At 48.9% G+C, this 14,541-nt stretch overlaps 1 long non-coding RNA gene across 1 annotated transcript in view, besides 3 other annotated features; it reads right to left on the bottom strand.

Annotated features, from left to right (window-relative positions):
- TRIB1AL (TRIB1 associated lncRNA) overlaps window positions 1-14,541 on the bottom strand; it is a 76,581-nt gene that overhangs the window by 33,718 nt on the left and 28,322 nt on the right. The window lies entirely within an intron of this gene.
- Window positions 1,075-1,124: an enhancer, noted in NCBI's record as "active region_27917". NCBI's record gives its function as "activates an Ori minimal core promoter by ATAC-STARR-seq in GM12878 lymphoblastoid cells {active_cell/tissue: GM12878}" and the evidence as "EXISTENCE:reporter gene assay evidence [ECO:0000049][PMID:35858748]".
- Window positions 3,285-3,424: an enhancer, noted in NCBI's record as "active region_27916". NCBI's record gives its function as "activates an Ori minimal core promoter by ATAC-STARR-seq in GM12878 lymphoblastoid cells {active_cell/tissue: GM12878}" and the evidence as "EXISTENCE:reporter gene assay evidence [ECO:0000049][PMID:35858748]".
- Window positions 7,872-8,372: an enhancer, noted in NCBI's record as "H3K4me1 hESC enhancer chr8:126513538-126514038 (GRCh37/hg19 assembly coordinates)". NCBI's record gives its function as "activates a minimal SCP1, AML or CMV promoter by ChIP-STARR-seq in naive H9 embryonic stem cells {active_cell/tissue: H9 hESC(naive)}" and the evidence as "EXISTENCE:reporter gene assay evidence [ECO:0000049][PMID:30033119]".

The raw sequence follows: 14,541 nt of genomic DNA, 5'->3' as shown, positions 1-14,541 counted from the left end.
GAATTTCAAGATGATGAAAGCAGAACCAATTAAACCAAGTGGGTGGTCCTTCTGAGTGTGGGACCCTGTGCGATCACACGGGTCACATGCCCATGAAGCTGACCTTTGTAGACCCCAGCTCTCTCAAAGAAATTCCAAAGAGGCAGGGTGGGCTACTTCAAAAGCGACAGCTTTCAAGCCAAATGATCCTGGTTAACATCCTGACTTTTTTTTCTTTCACATGCTCTGAAACTCTGATCGGAATTTCTTCACCCCTCTGGGCTTCAGTTTCCTCCTCTGTAGAGTGGGGATGAGATGGCAAACTGCATGTAATGTAGGTGGCACACGAAAAGCACTCAGCAAATGTGAGCCCATTGCTGTCCCTCCCCTCCTCCCTCCTCCATATCAATTTCTTCCCTTTCAGGCTCAAACCAGAACACACACACCACCACCATCACCACCATCTTGGCCAAGGTCTTAGCCGCAAAGTAAGAGCTGGAGACATTTGCGGGGGACAGTGTCCCAGCAATGCCACCTAGGGTTGGTGTCCAGTGTGGAAGGGGCCTTGGACCCCATGTACTCATTTGTCTCTACCCCTACCCAAGGCCAGGCTTTGTCAGGCTGGAACCATCATGTCTGGCTGCACCTCTCCCTCTCCAAGGAAGGGCCAGAGGTTCCCAAGGTGGCAGCTCTTTTTTACCCTCCATTTTTCAGGCAGGAAGGAGAACAAAGGCACAGTAAGCTTGCATTGGGCCTCCACTGACTCATCATGGCACCGTGGGCAGGTCACAAATGGTGACGCTGGGCCTCAGCTTTCCTATCTCTAAAATGGGGCTAATGATGCCTGCCAGTGACCTCGGCGACAGGATGTTGGGAGAGCACTCATTAGAGTTGCTGTTGCTGCTGTCGTGTGCTTTAGCTAATAATATGCTGCCCTGGTGAGGCCCCAGAGGGACCTGGGAGCTTTGGGAAAACATCCTCCTCCATCTTCAAAGTATCCCTAGAAGCAGGTGGGAGGCAAGTTGTAGGTTTTGGGGAGGGAGAAAAGGTAGCTCAAGAGGCAAGCACCTGTGTGGCAAAGAGACGGCTGGGAATGCATGCCCGGGGACTGCAGAGGGGAAGGTAGTGGAAGCTATTTAATCTTAGGTGGTGGACATAACTGAGTTCAAATCTCTCCTCTGCTGGGAATAAGTCAGCAACTTCCTGTGACTCTTTGATGGTCATAACCGGATGTGAGGTGTGATCAGCTTTTCCTTTTAAGTAAACACACTTGACTACTTTTAAAGTTGTCACCTCGCCAAGCTTCATCCTGAAGTGAGAAGAGAGATGCCCACTTCTCAGAGTCATGGTGATGACAAAATGAAAGCACATGAGTGCAAATACCAGCACCTAGTAGGTGCTCAGTAAATGTGTGCCCTGGACTGTCCTGCTTCCTCCCTAAGGAGTAAGGAGTACCACGTGCAGGACTGCCTCAACTCAATGTCCACACTGGATACTTTCTGTAAAAGTGGTTTATTGAATCATCTCATCTTCATAATTGCATTTGATATCTTTGTTAGGCCACACGACATACAACTTTGGATTCAGAAAGTATGGTGATTATGGGTGACTAGGTTTTCGTGGTCCTCCTGGGAACACCTGGCTCTGACCTCCCTGCCCAGAAGAAATGCCAAGAGGTGGTAGGGAGGAGAGGGAGACCCACACTCCTGTCACAAGCAAAGCCTGGTGGAGACACAGATGTTTATTAAGTGTCTGTTCAGTTCCCTCAGCCCTGTGCAAAGGCCTCGCATACCCATCTGATTGACTCCTCTCACGTGAGAAAATGGTGGCCCAGAGAAGTTGAGTGACTTGCCCGAGGTCACACAGTTATTAAGAGGCAGAGTCAGGATCTCTTGGTGTCCCATAAGCCCATGACAATGTGACGCCTGAGGCCAGAAACCTGGCTTGAGTTGGCAGCAGGTTGAAAGACTGTCTTTCCCAATCTTTCAGCTTAAGGCTGAAGAAGCAGGTGCTCAGAGCAGACAGGGAAACAGTCTGAGGTGACTAAAATCAAGCCAGGGCCTGTGTGAGGGCCTTTTCTTCCGCCTTGGTTGGGGTGGGCTGGGGAGGTGAGTGGGTGGGGCCTCTGGGACACTAACCACAGACACACACTGGCTTCTGGTTCAGGGACCCGGAGCAGCGGGATCCCTGTGCGTGGGAATGGGAGTGCCTCCTTCAACCCTCGCAAATGTTCTTTAGTCAGTCATCAGCCCGCTAAGCGCCGACTGTCTGCCAGGCCTTGGGGATGCCAACGAGAAAAACACAAGGCTCTGTCCTCCAGGTGGGTGGAGCTGGGGAGACAGAAGCTCGGGAGTTGACTGGTCCAAGGCCACACTGTGCTTGGTGGCAGAGCCGGGACAAGAATCCAGAGCAAACCTTGTGTTTTTGCCTCTACACTGGGTGTCACTGGGCCAACAGAAGAACTCCAGCAATTAAGAGAAGAATGGCAACTAAGTCATCTGTTGTCCAGACCGGTACACTTTCAAGAATGAAAAGCAGTGTTATTATTAATTACACTGAGACAACGAGCACAAACCAGGCTGTCCCTGGCCTACTGGGACTCATGGTCACACGAACCATGAGGCTGTGATGTGCCCCACGCAGTGACAAGGGCTTTCTCCTCACTGAACGGTCATACCACGCCTGAAAAGGAGATGTTAGTATTCTATCTCCATCTGACAGATTCAGAGCCATGATAAAACCTGCTCAAGGGCTGGGCACGCCTGTAATCCCAGCACTTTGGGAGGCCGAGGCAGGTGGGTCACCTGAGGTCAGGAGTTCGAGACCAGCCTGATCAATATGGTGAAACCACATCTCTACTAAAAATACAAAAATTAGCCAGCCATGGTGGTGGGCACCTGTAGTTCCAGCTACTCAGGAGGCTGAGACAAGAGAATTGCCTGGGAGGCAGAGTTTGCAGTGAGCTGAGATTGCACCACTGCACTCCAACCTGGTCAACAGAGCAAGACTCTGTAAAAAAAAAAAAAAACCTGCTCTAACAGGCAACTGCAAGAGACAGGTGAGTGGACAGGCTCCGTGTCCTGAGGGAAGAACGGCAAAAGCAGAGTGAACCATCAACTGGTCCAGTTCACCTTGGAAAGGAGATTATGGCTGCTGTCTGTTCATTGTGCCAGAGCAGTGCCCATGGCAAACTGGTTACTAGATATTTTAAGAATTACCCTCTCTAGAAAGGGAGCCCAGGGGCAGCCCAGGAGAGCTGAGGGCTCCATGGGATCGGGGCAGAAAGGGTCTTGCATAGCCAGGAAGGCCTGTCATTCCTGGAGCTACAAGAGAGCTAGAAGGAGCCACTCTGTGTGGCTTGGCCCCCTTGGGCGATGGCCTCTCTGAGAAGGAAGTCCTCGGCTTCCTTCCTTTTTTTTTTTTTTTTTTCTAAACTGGCTCGAAAGCAGCCACCGTGGGGTCTAAGGACCAGCAGGGCACTGAGAGAGGCAGCAACCCCAGCCGCAGTGGACAGAAGGCAGTGCCCAGAGTCAGGACCAGGAGAAGCACAGGAAAGAGGTCTGCAGGCCAACCTTCACAGGTCCAGCCAGACCCAGCCATGGGAGGTCATGCCAGCCCTCTGCCTGTGGGAATGGAGAGGGGATCTGGGGTCTGCCGAGGCCTCACCACAGTCCCTTGCAGTTTAGGGTCCAGGGTGCACAGCCGCCCCCACCCCCACCTCCCAGCCGTTTGCTTTCTAACAGGAAGTTCCTTCCTCTTTCTATGTTTCCCCCCTTGGCTGTACCCAGCTATCCTCAGCCCAGAGCTTGGGGTGACTTTCAGGAACCTGTCATTGTGAAAAACTCAAACCACTCCCAACTGGCTATCTCTAACCACCTGGGGTGAGAGAGGTCCCGTGAATCCAGGAAGCAGAGCCACCAAGCTGTCAGGATGGCCCCTGACTTCCGAGGAATAAGAGCCATGGTCCTTGCAGCAGTCTCCCCCGCCCCTCTGAAACCCCACACACACATTACACACAACCAGTGGAGGGAGCCCTGGGGCAGAACCTGGCAGGAGACACAGGGGGCATCAACTACGGTGTCAGCTGTAGAAATGAAGAGGGTGGACAATGGTGCCAACAGGACATGGGGATGGATTGTGTGCAGATGCAGGATAGGCTTCTGGGTGGCCTTGGACTGATCAACTTTTCCTCACTTTCTTGCTTGTACTTCTCAAGAATTACTAGAGAAGCTAGATGGGAGGAAGAAGGTCTAGGGTTCTGTAACCTTGTAAGATGAATATGGTTAACAATAATTTAGTGTACATTTCTAAAAAGCTAGAAGAAAGGATTTTTAATGTTCGCAAGACTGAAAAAATGATCAATGTTTCAGGTGATAGACATGCTAAGTACCCTGATTTGATCATTATACTTGTATTCCATAAATATCACTCTGTATCCCATAAATATATACAATTATTACATGTCAACAAAAAATAAAAGGGGAGGCCAGTGGCTCACGCCTGTAATCCTAGCACTTTAGGAGGCCAAGGCGGGTAGATCACGAGGTCAGGAGCTCGAGACCAGCCTGACCAACATGGTGAAACCCTATCTCTACTAGAAATACAAAAATTAGCTGGGCATGGTGGTGCATGCCTGTAATCCCAGCTACTCAGGAGGCTGAGGCAGGAGAATCACTCGAACCCAGGAGGCGGAGGTTGCAGTGAGCCAAGATCATGCCACTATACTCCAGCCTGGGTGATGGAGAGAGACTCCATCTCAAAATAAAATAAAAGGGAAAAAAGAATAACTGATAACCGTAGAATGTGCTGGGAATGCAATATATCTTCCATACACATGCCTCCCTAGCCCACTCCCTTTGACAATAAGCAGAAGACGAAATTCTGGCCCTGGAAACAAACAGAGAAGAAAGGGGTGGGAACTTCCAGGGAAGCTTTCTTTGCTAATAAATAGACATTCCTGTGAAGAGACAATCCCTCGTCCTCTGCTGGCCACTGTCATGCCTGCATGTGACACCTGAATTAGCAGTAGCCTTTCTGTGGCCATGAGGCGACATGGCCAAGGCCAAGTCTGTGGGCTGAGGGTGGCAGTACAGAGGGAAAGAAATTGAGTCTCTGGTCGGGCGAGGTGGCTCACACTTGGAATCCCAGCACTTTGAGAGTCCAAGGCAGGTAAATCACTTGAGGTCAGGAGTTCAAGACTAGCCTGGCCAACATGGTGAAACCCCATCTCTACTGAAAAAAATACAAAAATTAGCCGGGCATGTGGCGGGTGTCTGCAATCCCACCTACTCGGGAGGCGAAGGTTGCAGTGAGCCGAGATCACGCCATGGCATCCCAGCCTGGGCAACAGGGCAAGATCATGTCTCAAAAAAAAAAAAAAAAAGAAAGAAAGAAAGAAACTGAGTGCCTGGCAAGAGCATTGAGCACCATATTGGCCAACCTCAAAACACTCAACTTCAGGATTTCTTCCTGTCTGAAGTGAGTTGAGGCTTTCTGTAGCTTGTAACCAACAGACATCCTTATCCAACCCCTGGGTCCAAATTTAGAACACCCCTGGGTTCTGGGCTCATACTGTACTTTCCCGCTTCTGTGCTCTTTTTGGCATGGTTCCTTCTGCCTATCTGGGAACCTTGTCCTTCCCTCAAATACCAACTCAAATCCCTATATGAGTCCTCCCTTGAACCCACGGACCAGAGGCAGCAAGTCCTTCCTCTGCACTTCATTTGCAGCTTCTTCCTAGTGCTTTCCACTCTACCCCATTCCTTGGGGTCATTCACACGACATCTTAGTGCCACTGCTAGACTGTAAGCTCCAGGAGAGGACAGCCCATGCATTATTTATACCCAGAGACCTCATAGCGCTCTTAGAGGTATCTACCTGCCGCTTTACCAGCTTCTGATAGTCCCTACTCCCAACTGTATTCTTTTTCTACCATTGCTGTAACAAATTACTACAAACTTAGAAGCTTAAAAGAACACAAACTTATTTTATGACAAATCTGGAGGTCAGAAGTCCAAAATGAATTTCACTGGGCTAAAATCACAGTGTCAGCAGGACTGTGTTCCTTCCCAGAGGCTCTAGGGGAGAATCTGTCCTTTTGCTTTTTCCAGCTTCTAGAGGCCACCTGCCATTCTTGGCTCACGGCTCCTTCCTCCGTCTTCAAAGCCAACAATCACATCAGTCCATCCTCTGCTTCCATCACCACGTCTCCTCCTCTGACTGACTCTCCTGCCTCGCTCTTATAAGGACCCTTGTGATGACATTGGAGCCACTCAGAAAACCCAGGATCATCTCCCCATCTCCAGATCCTCAACTTAATCACATCTGCAAAATCCTTTGTGCCATGTGGGGTAGCATATTCACAGATTCCAGCGATTAGGATATGAACACTGGGAGGCGGGGAATTATTCTGCCCACTACACCAACTAAAACCCTCAGTTCAACAATCAGAAATTCGTTAGAAGAACAGGCCAGGTGTCATGGCTCACACTTGTAATCCCAGCACTTTGAGAGGCCGAGGCAGGCGGATCACTTGAGACCAGGAGTTCAAGACCAGCCTGGCCAACATGGTGAAACCCCATCTCTACTAAAAATACAAAAAATTAGCCGGGCGTGGTGGCAGGCAGCTGTAATTCCAGCTACGGGGGAGGCTGAGGCATGAGAAACCCTTGAACCCGGTAGGCAGAGGTTGCAGTGAGCCGAGATCACGCCACGACACTCCAGCCTGGGCGACAGACAGACTCTTGCCTCCAAAATAATAATAATAATAATAATAATAATGAAAGAGAGAGAGAGAGAGGAAGGAAGGAAGGAAGGAAAGGAGGGAGGGAGGAGAGAAAGAAAGAAAGAAAGAAAGAAAGAAAGAAAGAAAGAAAGAAAGAAAGAAAGAAAGAAGGAAGGAAGGAAGGAAGGAAGGAAGGAAGGAAGAAAGAAAGAAAGAAAGAAAGAAAATAAAATGAAACAGCATCATCAAGATTAGGACAGTCTCAGGGTCATCTCAAGCTCCTGAATATTACAACACAAATTTCCAGCTTGGCATTTCTCAGAATGTAGCCAAGTGGAGTTCATTTAGCTTGGGTCATAAAAGAATTGGACCCAGAGTTGGGACAAATAAAACAAATGCCAAGTTATGGGAGCTGAGTGATAGGGAGAACTGATGCTAAGTTCCTGATGCTGAGACTTAAAGATCTTAGACCTGTCATCTCCAGGATTGGTCCTAATACTAGGGCTGGGTTAAAGCGGCCCCCAGGAGAAAGAAGAGCAAAGACATGGAGGCTGGAAACTCAGTAGGACCTGTGGCAGTCAACACTTATCCGTCCTGCGTTACATGGCCCCGAGCCTTGCTTTTTGCTATCAAATAAGTAAGTCCACCATGCGTGTCAGTAGCTAGTGACAAATTGTTCTATTATTCATACCTTGGTAGAAGTTTTCCAGTAAATAAGAGCCTTAGCCCAAAGGAAAAAAACCTCGTGGTAAAAATAGAGGTGGCATGTCAAGCTGATGGAAGAGCTATCTGGCTGCCCGAGGACAGTATACACAGCATCAAAGCTCCCCCCTCAACTGTACTGGTCAGACTAATGCTGGTCCCCTTGAGCAGTCAGAGCCACATCCAGGCCTTGGGACTCCCAAGGCTGTGTGCTCCACAGACATGACCACCATCTCCCCTGAATGGGCCCCAGACCAGCAGGGGACAGCTCCTCTGCACCCTGAGAAGGAGTGCATTAAAAAGCGAGGGAGGGAGAGAGAGAGACAGTAAACAGAGTTTTACAAAACTTAAAAGTGGTTACGATCCAATAATCAAAGGCAAAACACGTTGCCTCCAATTCCCCTTTGAAGCTATTTCACAAACTAAATTCCTTTCCTTTGACCAACTTTCCCAATCCTCACATATTTACCTTGCGGGGGAGGCTGGTAACATGCTCAGAGCCCCACCCCCTGTGGCAGGGCTCCACTGAACGCACACCCCTGGGGGGCCACCTCCAGCTCTCCCCCAGAGCCAGCCACCCTTCAGCGGGACAGGGGTTCCAACCAACCATCTGAAATTCTCACAGTCACCCTCTCAGCAGGGCATGAGACTCCCATTTTACAGGTGAGAAAACTGAGGTTCCGAAAAATTTAAAAACTTACCCAAGTTTCACAACCAGCTAGTGATGAACAGGGCTGGAATTGGGACTCTGGGCTAGTCATCCTCCACACTCAGGCTTCTATCTACCGTGTGAGCAGCTCTCCAGCTTTTGGTCTTTACACTCTTAATTATGGCGGCCTGCAACAAGCTTTATTTTTATGGATTATATCTATCGATATTTGCTGTATTCAAAATTTAAAATAAGAAATTTTTAATCTTTATTAATTCACTTAAAATAACAATGACAAACCTATTACACATAAATAAAAACAATATCTTTTCATTAAAAAAAAAATAAAGGCTGGGAGCAGTGGCTCACGCCTGTAATCCCAGCATTTTGGGAGGCCAAGGCAGGCGGATCACCTGAGGTTAGGAGTTCGAGACCAGCCTGGCCAACATGGTGAAACCCCATCTTTACTAAATATACAAAAATTAGCCAGGCACAGTGGCACATGCCTGTAGTCCCAGCTACTCGGGAGGCTGAGGCAGGAGACTAGCTTGAACCCAGGAGGTAGAGGTTGCAGGGAGCCAAGATCACACCACTGCCTTCCAGCCTGGGCAATAGAGCGAGACTTCGTCTCAGAAAAAATAAAATAAAAATAAATAAATTTTTTTTTAAAAATTCCAAAACAAAACTAAGTGAGAAGGATGGCATTGTTTTACCCTTTGCAAACCTCCTGAATCTTGGGCTTAAAAGAAAACAGCTGGATTTTCATATCTGCTTCTGTATTCAGTATATTGCCATACTCTGTTTGCATTAAAGTATATGAAGAAAATCCTAGGAGCTCACCTTATGAAAGGGTCCCTAAACCAGACTTTGAGAATCACTGCACTACATCATATTACTTCATTTCTGATGCCTGAAACCTACGTTCCTAAAACTCTGCTTACACAAAATAGATGCTTAACATGTTTGCTGAATGAATAAATGAGCAAGGCTCACCAAAGCTGGCTGGGGGGAGAAAAAGGTCAAGTCTTTAGGTCTAAAAGCAAGTTTGAGCTTTATCTGTGGACTTCAATTATCCAGAAGTGTCCTTGCCATGAGATAGAAGGGGAATAGGAAAGTCAGTAAAACTTTCTAGATCAGGGCTGCTGTGAATGGTTGTGCGGGTTGCAGACTCTGCAAAAACATCCCAGATGGTGCCAACCCATGTTCTGCTCACCATGCCTGCGCCCTGGAGCAGGGCTGAAGAAGGGAGCACTTTTCTGATTTGCACAATGCTGCTGGGTGTGCCAGCAGCTGCCACGGCCCTACCCCATAGGTGTGAGTCTCCCAGACACATCTGGGTGTGGTGAGGGACAGGCAAGTCCCAAATTCTTGGAGAGGGTGCCGGGAGATGCTGCAGAACCCCCTGGGCTGAGCCAGCAGATAGAGCTTCACAGCCTGGACATGAATCCACATTTCAGATCCTCTGGGGTTTTTTTGTTTGTTTTTGTTTTGTTTTTTTAAGACAGGGTCTTGCTCTGTGGCCCAGGCTGGAGTACAGTGGCGCATTCTCAGCTCAATTCAACCACCACCTCCGGGGTTCAAGCGTTTCTCCTGCCTCAGCCTCCCAAGTAGCTGGGTCTACAGACACGTGCCACCATGCCCAGCTAACTTTTGTATTTTAATAGAAATACAACATGGAGTTTCACCATGTTGGCCAGGCTGGTCTCGAACTCTTGACCTCAAGTGATCCACCCGCCTCGGCCTCCCAAAGTGCTGGGATTACAGACATAAGCCACCATACTCGACCAAGATCCTCTTACATAGCCTGGGCTACCTCTGGATCAACTACAGACCTAGCAAGTGAGGGCAGGCAACCACATGAATTGGCACCCACTGTATGCACAGCCAGTGTATGCCCTGGAAAAGGACACCCAAGAAACAAGCAGCATGGCCTGCTTTTCATGGCTGTATTGCAGTGGTTCTTAACATGGAGGTATTTTGTCCTCTGGGAACATTTGCTAATGTACAGAGACATGTTTGGTTGTCACAACCTTGGATGTGGGCAGCGGGGAAGCTACTGGCATCCAGGGGATAAGAAGCCAGGGATGCCGCTGACATCCTGCAAGGAACAGGACAGCCCCTCCCCCACCACGGCAAAAAATTATCCAGCCCAAAATGTGAATATTGCTGAGGCTGAGAAACCCTAGTGCAATGAAAAGAATATGCGTTCTAATCTCAGAGGGACTGGGTTCAACTCCCAGCTGTGCCGCTTTCTAATTCTGTGCCTATAGGCAGGTCACTTACTTTGCTTCCCTTTTCTGTGAAATGGAGAGAATAATACCTACACTGCAAGACTGTTGTAGAGATCAAATGACAAGGGCTATGCCTACACTTGCCAAATGAAGACAGCGGCCCCGCCGACTCAACAAGCTGGTAGCAGTAGCAATAATCACAATAACCCATGCCCAGTGTCTGCCATCGGCTGGCACTCTGCTAGCTGCCGGGGGAATGACATCTGTCTCTATTTCCTTTCCGGAAGTTCACAGCCCAGCAGCCAAGCAAAAGTTCCACGATCGCAGCTATTTAAGTCGACATGCATGTAAACAGAGGATGGAATGTTCAAAAATAAGAGGGCTTATGGGTGGAAAAGTGTTTTTTTTCTCTCTCTTGTTTCCAAAAAAAGAAATCTTTCATGTTATTTTTATGTTGTTTTTCCCATCAAAAGAAGAAAAGAGGGAGGAAAAGTGAACGCAACTTGTTTTCCAAAAAGCATGTAAATGATTGAATATGAACATAAATGCTCCTCATCTTAGGCCCTAATAGTGATCTTGGTGTAAATCTAATTTTCACATATCAAATCATTTTCTAATGCATGATTGATATTTAGCAAAGGCAAGTACTGGACCTTTGGGTAAAGTGAAGAACAGCCCCTTCATTCATCTGCTATGAGCATCTGCACTTTGCTATTTTGTAAAGCTGGGCCCACCTGCAGAACCCAAGTTCCCTCTAAATGCCAATCCGTAGCAGGTCTGTGCAGTGAGTGGAAGTAATCAAAGAAGGCTTCCAGGTGGAAGCAAGGTTTGTGACACATTTTTGAAAGCAGAGATTCATAAGAAGGAGGGAAGGCCACCTCAAGGGCTGAAATGACACAAAAGCTCAGAGACAGCAGCTACAGGGTGGCCAGCCCTGGGGAGGCTTTGAAGTCACCTTCTGAGCAAGGGTTTCCAGCAATGCTCAGGCCCCAGAACTCGCAGAGGGAAAAGCTGGTAGGTCAGGTAGAAATGAGTCACAGAGGGCTGGGCGCAGTGGCTCATGCCTGTAATCCCAGCACTTTGGGAGGCTGAGGCAGGTGAGTCACCTGAGGTCAGGAGGTCCAGACCAGCCTGGCCAACATGGCAAAATCCTATCTCTACCAAAAATACAAAAATTAGCCAGGCGTGGTGGCACACGCCTGTAATCCCAGCTATTCAGGAGGCTGAGGCAGGAGAATTGCTTGAACCTGGGAGGCGGAGGTTGCAGTCAGCAAAGATCATGCCACTGCACTTCAGCCTAGACGATAGAGTGAGACCCTGCCACAAAAAAAAAAAAAAGAAAAAGAAAGAAATGAGCCACAGAGTCTTAATCTCTGCAGAGTCCTTCAGAGGACACGAAGGCAGGGCCACTGCTGTCACCTCAGTCTCCTCAAGGCCCCTGCTGAAAAGCTGGGAGCCTCCTGTCTCACCCTCCTGGTCTCCATGCCTGGCCCACACTGGAGGCCCCCCACCTTGCTGACTCTCCATCCCCGGCAAGCTCTGGGCTCTCCTCTGTGCTCCCAGATCCCACACTCAGAAAGCTGGGGCGTCCTGGGCAACTCACTCCCCGTCTCTGAGCCTTGGCTTCCTGGTTTTTCGGGTGAGGTTGATGACAGATTTACCTTCTAGGTCTGTTGGAGGAACCCTGAGATCCTGAGGAAAGTGCCCCTGCCTGGTACCCACCGGTTCTTAAGGAAAGGTGCATGTGGCTCACCAGCTCCCCACTCCCATGCCCCCACCCCTTCTGGCTGCCTCTCCCACACTCAGGCCAAATACCACCACCTCCTTCACAACAAGCACTTTGGGGAGACCCTGCCTTAAACACAAAGACAGAGGGACCCAGAGCTTTACAGCTTGTACAGATCAAGTTTTAATCAAGATAGATGAGGGAAGAGCACGGTGGCTCACATCTGTAATCCTAGCACTTTGAGAGGCCAAGGTGGGTGGATCGCTTGAGGACAGGAGTTCGAGACCAGCATGGACAACATGGCAAAACCCTATCTCTGTTTTAAAAAATATAAAAATTAGCCGGGCATGGTGGTGCTTGCCTGTAATCCCAGCTACTCAGGAGGATGAGGCAGGAGAATTGTTTGAACACAGGAGACAGAGGTTGCAGTGAGCCGAGAAGACGCCCCAGACAGAGCGAGACTGTGTCAAAAAAAAAAAAAAAAAAGACAGATGGAGGGAGCCTGACTTTGAATACCCCTCCCTCCTTGCTAAACCCACCCACAATCCCCCACATACATTCACACAAAGAATAACAATAATACCCATTGCCGTGTGCCTACCAAGTGGTGGGCTAAGCATTGCACACACCAGCACATCTGCCCTGCAAGGAAGACACAGACATGCATGGAGATCAAAGCTTAGAAAAGGTGAGTAACTTGCCGAGGACTGGTGGCTGGCAGAGTTAGAGGCATGATATCTGTTTCTTCTGCTAGACCACCTTCCTAATCTTCTCACCTGCGTGCAACCCTCCCCCCACCTGCATTTCAATCTCCCCTTCAGGGCAGCACTGGAGTTTGGCCCATCCATGCCCTGCCCACCCCCAATCTCCTTCTCCCATGTCCTCCTCTATTAGAAAGGCTAGAAAATTAAATATCCATCTTTCCTCTCTCCCTTGCAGTGAAGGGTCATCGTGCGGCCCAGTCGTGACCAGTGAAATATAAGCAGAAGTCTGCTGGGAAGAGGCGTCTGGGAAAGTTTATGACTTTCCCAATAAAAGTAAACAGCCCCAGCTGGTGTGATGTACTGCTCCTTCCTCCTGCCTCGCCTATGGCCATGATGCCTGGAGGTACAGCAGCCCCTTCCCAGAAAGATGAAAGTCAATACTCTACAACGGGGCAGAGAAGATGAAAAGAGCCTGGGTCTCAATGCCATGGTTGAGTTTCTGCCCCAGCTCTTCCCTGTCTACCTCCAAATTTCTTGTTTTGTGAGAAAAACAATCCCCTAATTATTTAAGCTTCTGGGGGCTGGGTTTTCTATTGCTTGCTGCTGAATGCACTTTTTTTTTTTTTCTTGAGACAGGGTCTCACTCTGTTACCCAGGTTGGAGTGCAGTGACATGATCACATCTCACCACAGCCTCTACCTCCCCAGGCTCAAGCAATCCTCCCACCTTAGCTGGAACCACAGGTGCATGCCACCACGCACAGCTATTTTTTTTTTTTTTTTTTTTTTTTTGTAGACATGGGGTTTTGCCATGTTGCTTAGGCTGGTCTCGAACTTCTGGACTCAAGCAATCTGCCTGCCTCGGCCTCCCAAAGTGCTGGAATTACAGGCTATGCCACCACACCTGGCCTGAATGCACTCTTAATACCCTATTCACATCCTAATCCTACACCCCAAACAAAACACACATACACCCCAAGTCCCACCTGAACACCACTGTGTAATACCATTGCCCCATGTAACACTCTCCCACTCCCTACACCCCCAAGAACAACCCACCCTAACGCCAGCATCCACTGTGTGCACCCACCCCTAATCCTAATGCTGGTTGAAGCATTTATTCTATTAGCCGCTGCCCTTTTACAAGTCCTCACCATTCAGGACCCAGTAGCCTCTTCCCTCGCCCTCTCCACTTCATAAACTGAGCTTCAGAAACCACTTTCACCATCATGCAATTACTTTGGGAAGAGAACTGACGTCTCCTGAAGGCCGGTGAGAGTCTAGTCACACTTCTCCTTTCTGAGTTAGGACAGATTTATCTACCTGAGATCACACAACTCTCTCATGATGCAAAGAAATTCTGCTCTATGGGGAAAACAAAGAAAACAAAACAACCACCCACCCCCTCCAAAAAAATTGCCTTTGCCTTCTCTTTAAAAACTTCATTTCAAAACACTGGACCATGTGGATCATTTGGCAAACATGGTGTTAGGCAATGCCTCCAGGGGCCAAGAAGAGACACTCAGGGAACATCCTCCATCCAGGGTGAGCTAATCAGGGTGACCAATGACTCTGAAGTGGCTGAGCCAGGCTCCCTCACTTAGATGGGTGCAAGGGAACTGGAGAAAGTGTCCAGACACTCAGACCCAGCACCCTTCTTTCTAAGGCCACAGTCCCTCATAATTAATTAACAGCCTGCCCTGAAGATAGCATGAGTTGCCGCTGCCCTTGGGGTGGAATGGGCGAAAGGCTCGGACCAGCCCCTCCCACCACTCTACAGCACAGTGTCTCACCACCAGTCACTCTGCCCTTTGCATCCAGATCCTG

This window comes from Homo sapiens, chromosome 8 (assembly GCF_000001405.40).
Source record: "Homo sapiens chromosome 8, GRCh38.p14 Primary Assembly".
NCBI lineage: Eukaryota > Metazoa > Chordata > Mammalia > Primates > Hominidae > Homo > Homo sapiens.
Note: the sequence above shows the minus strand (reverse complement) of the source record. Positions and strands in the feature narration are given on the sequence as shown.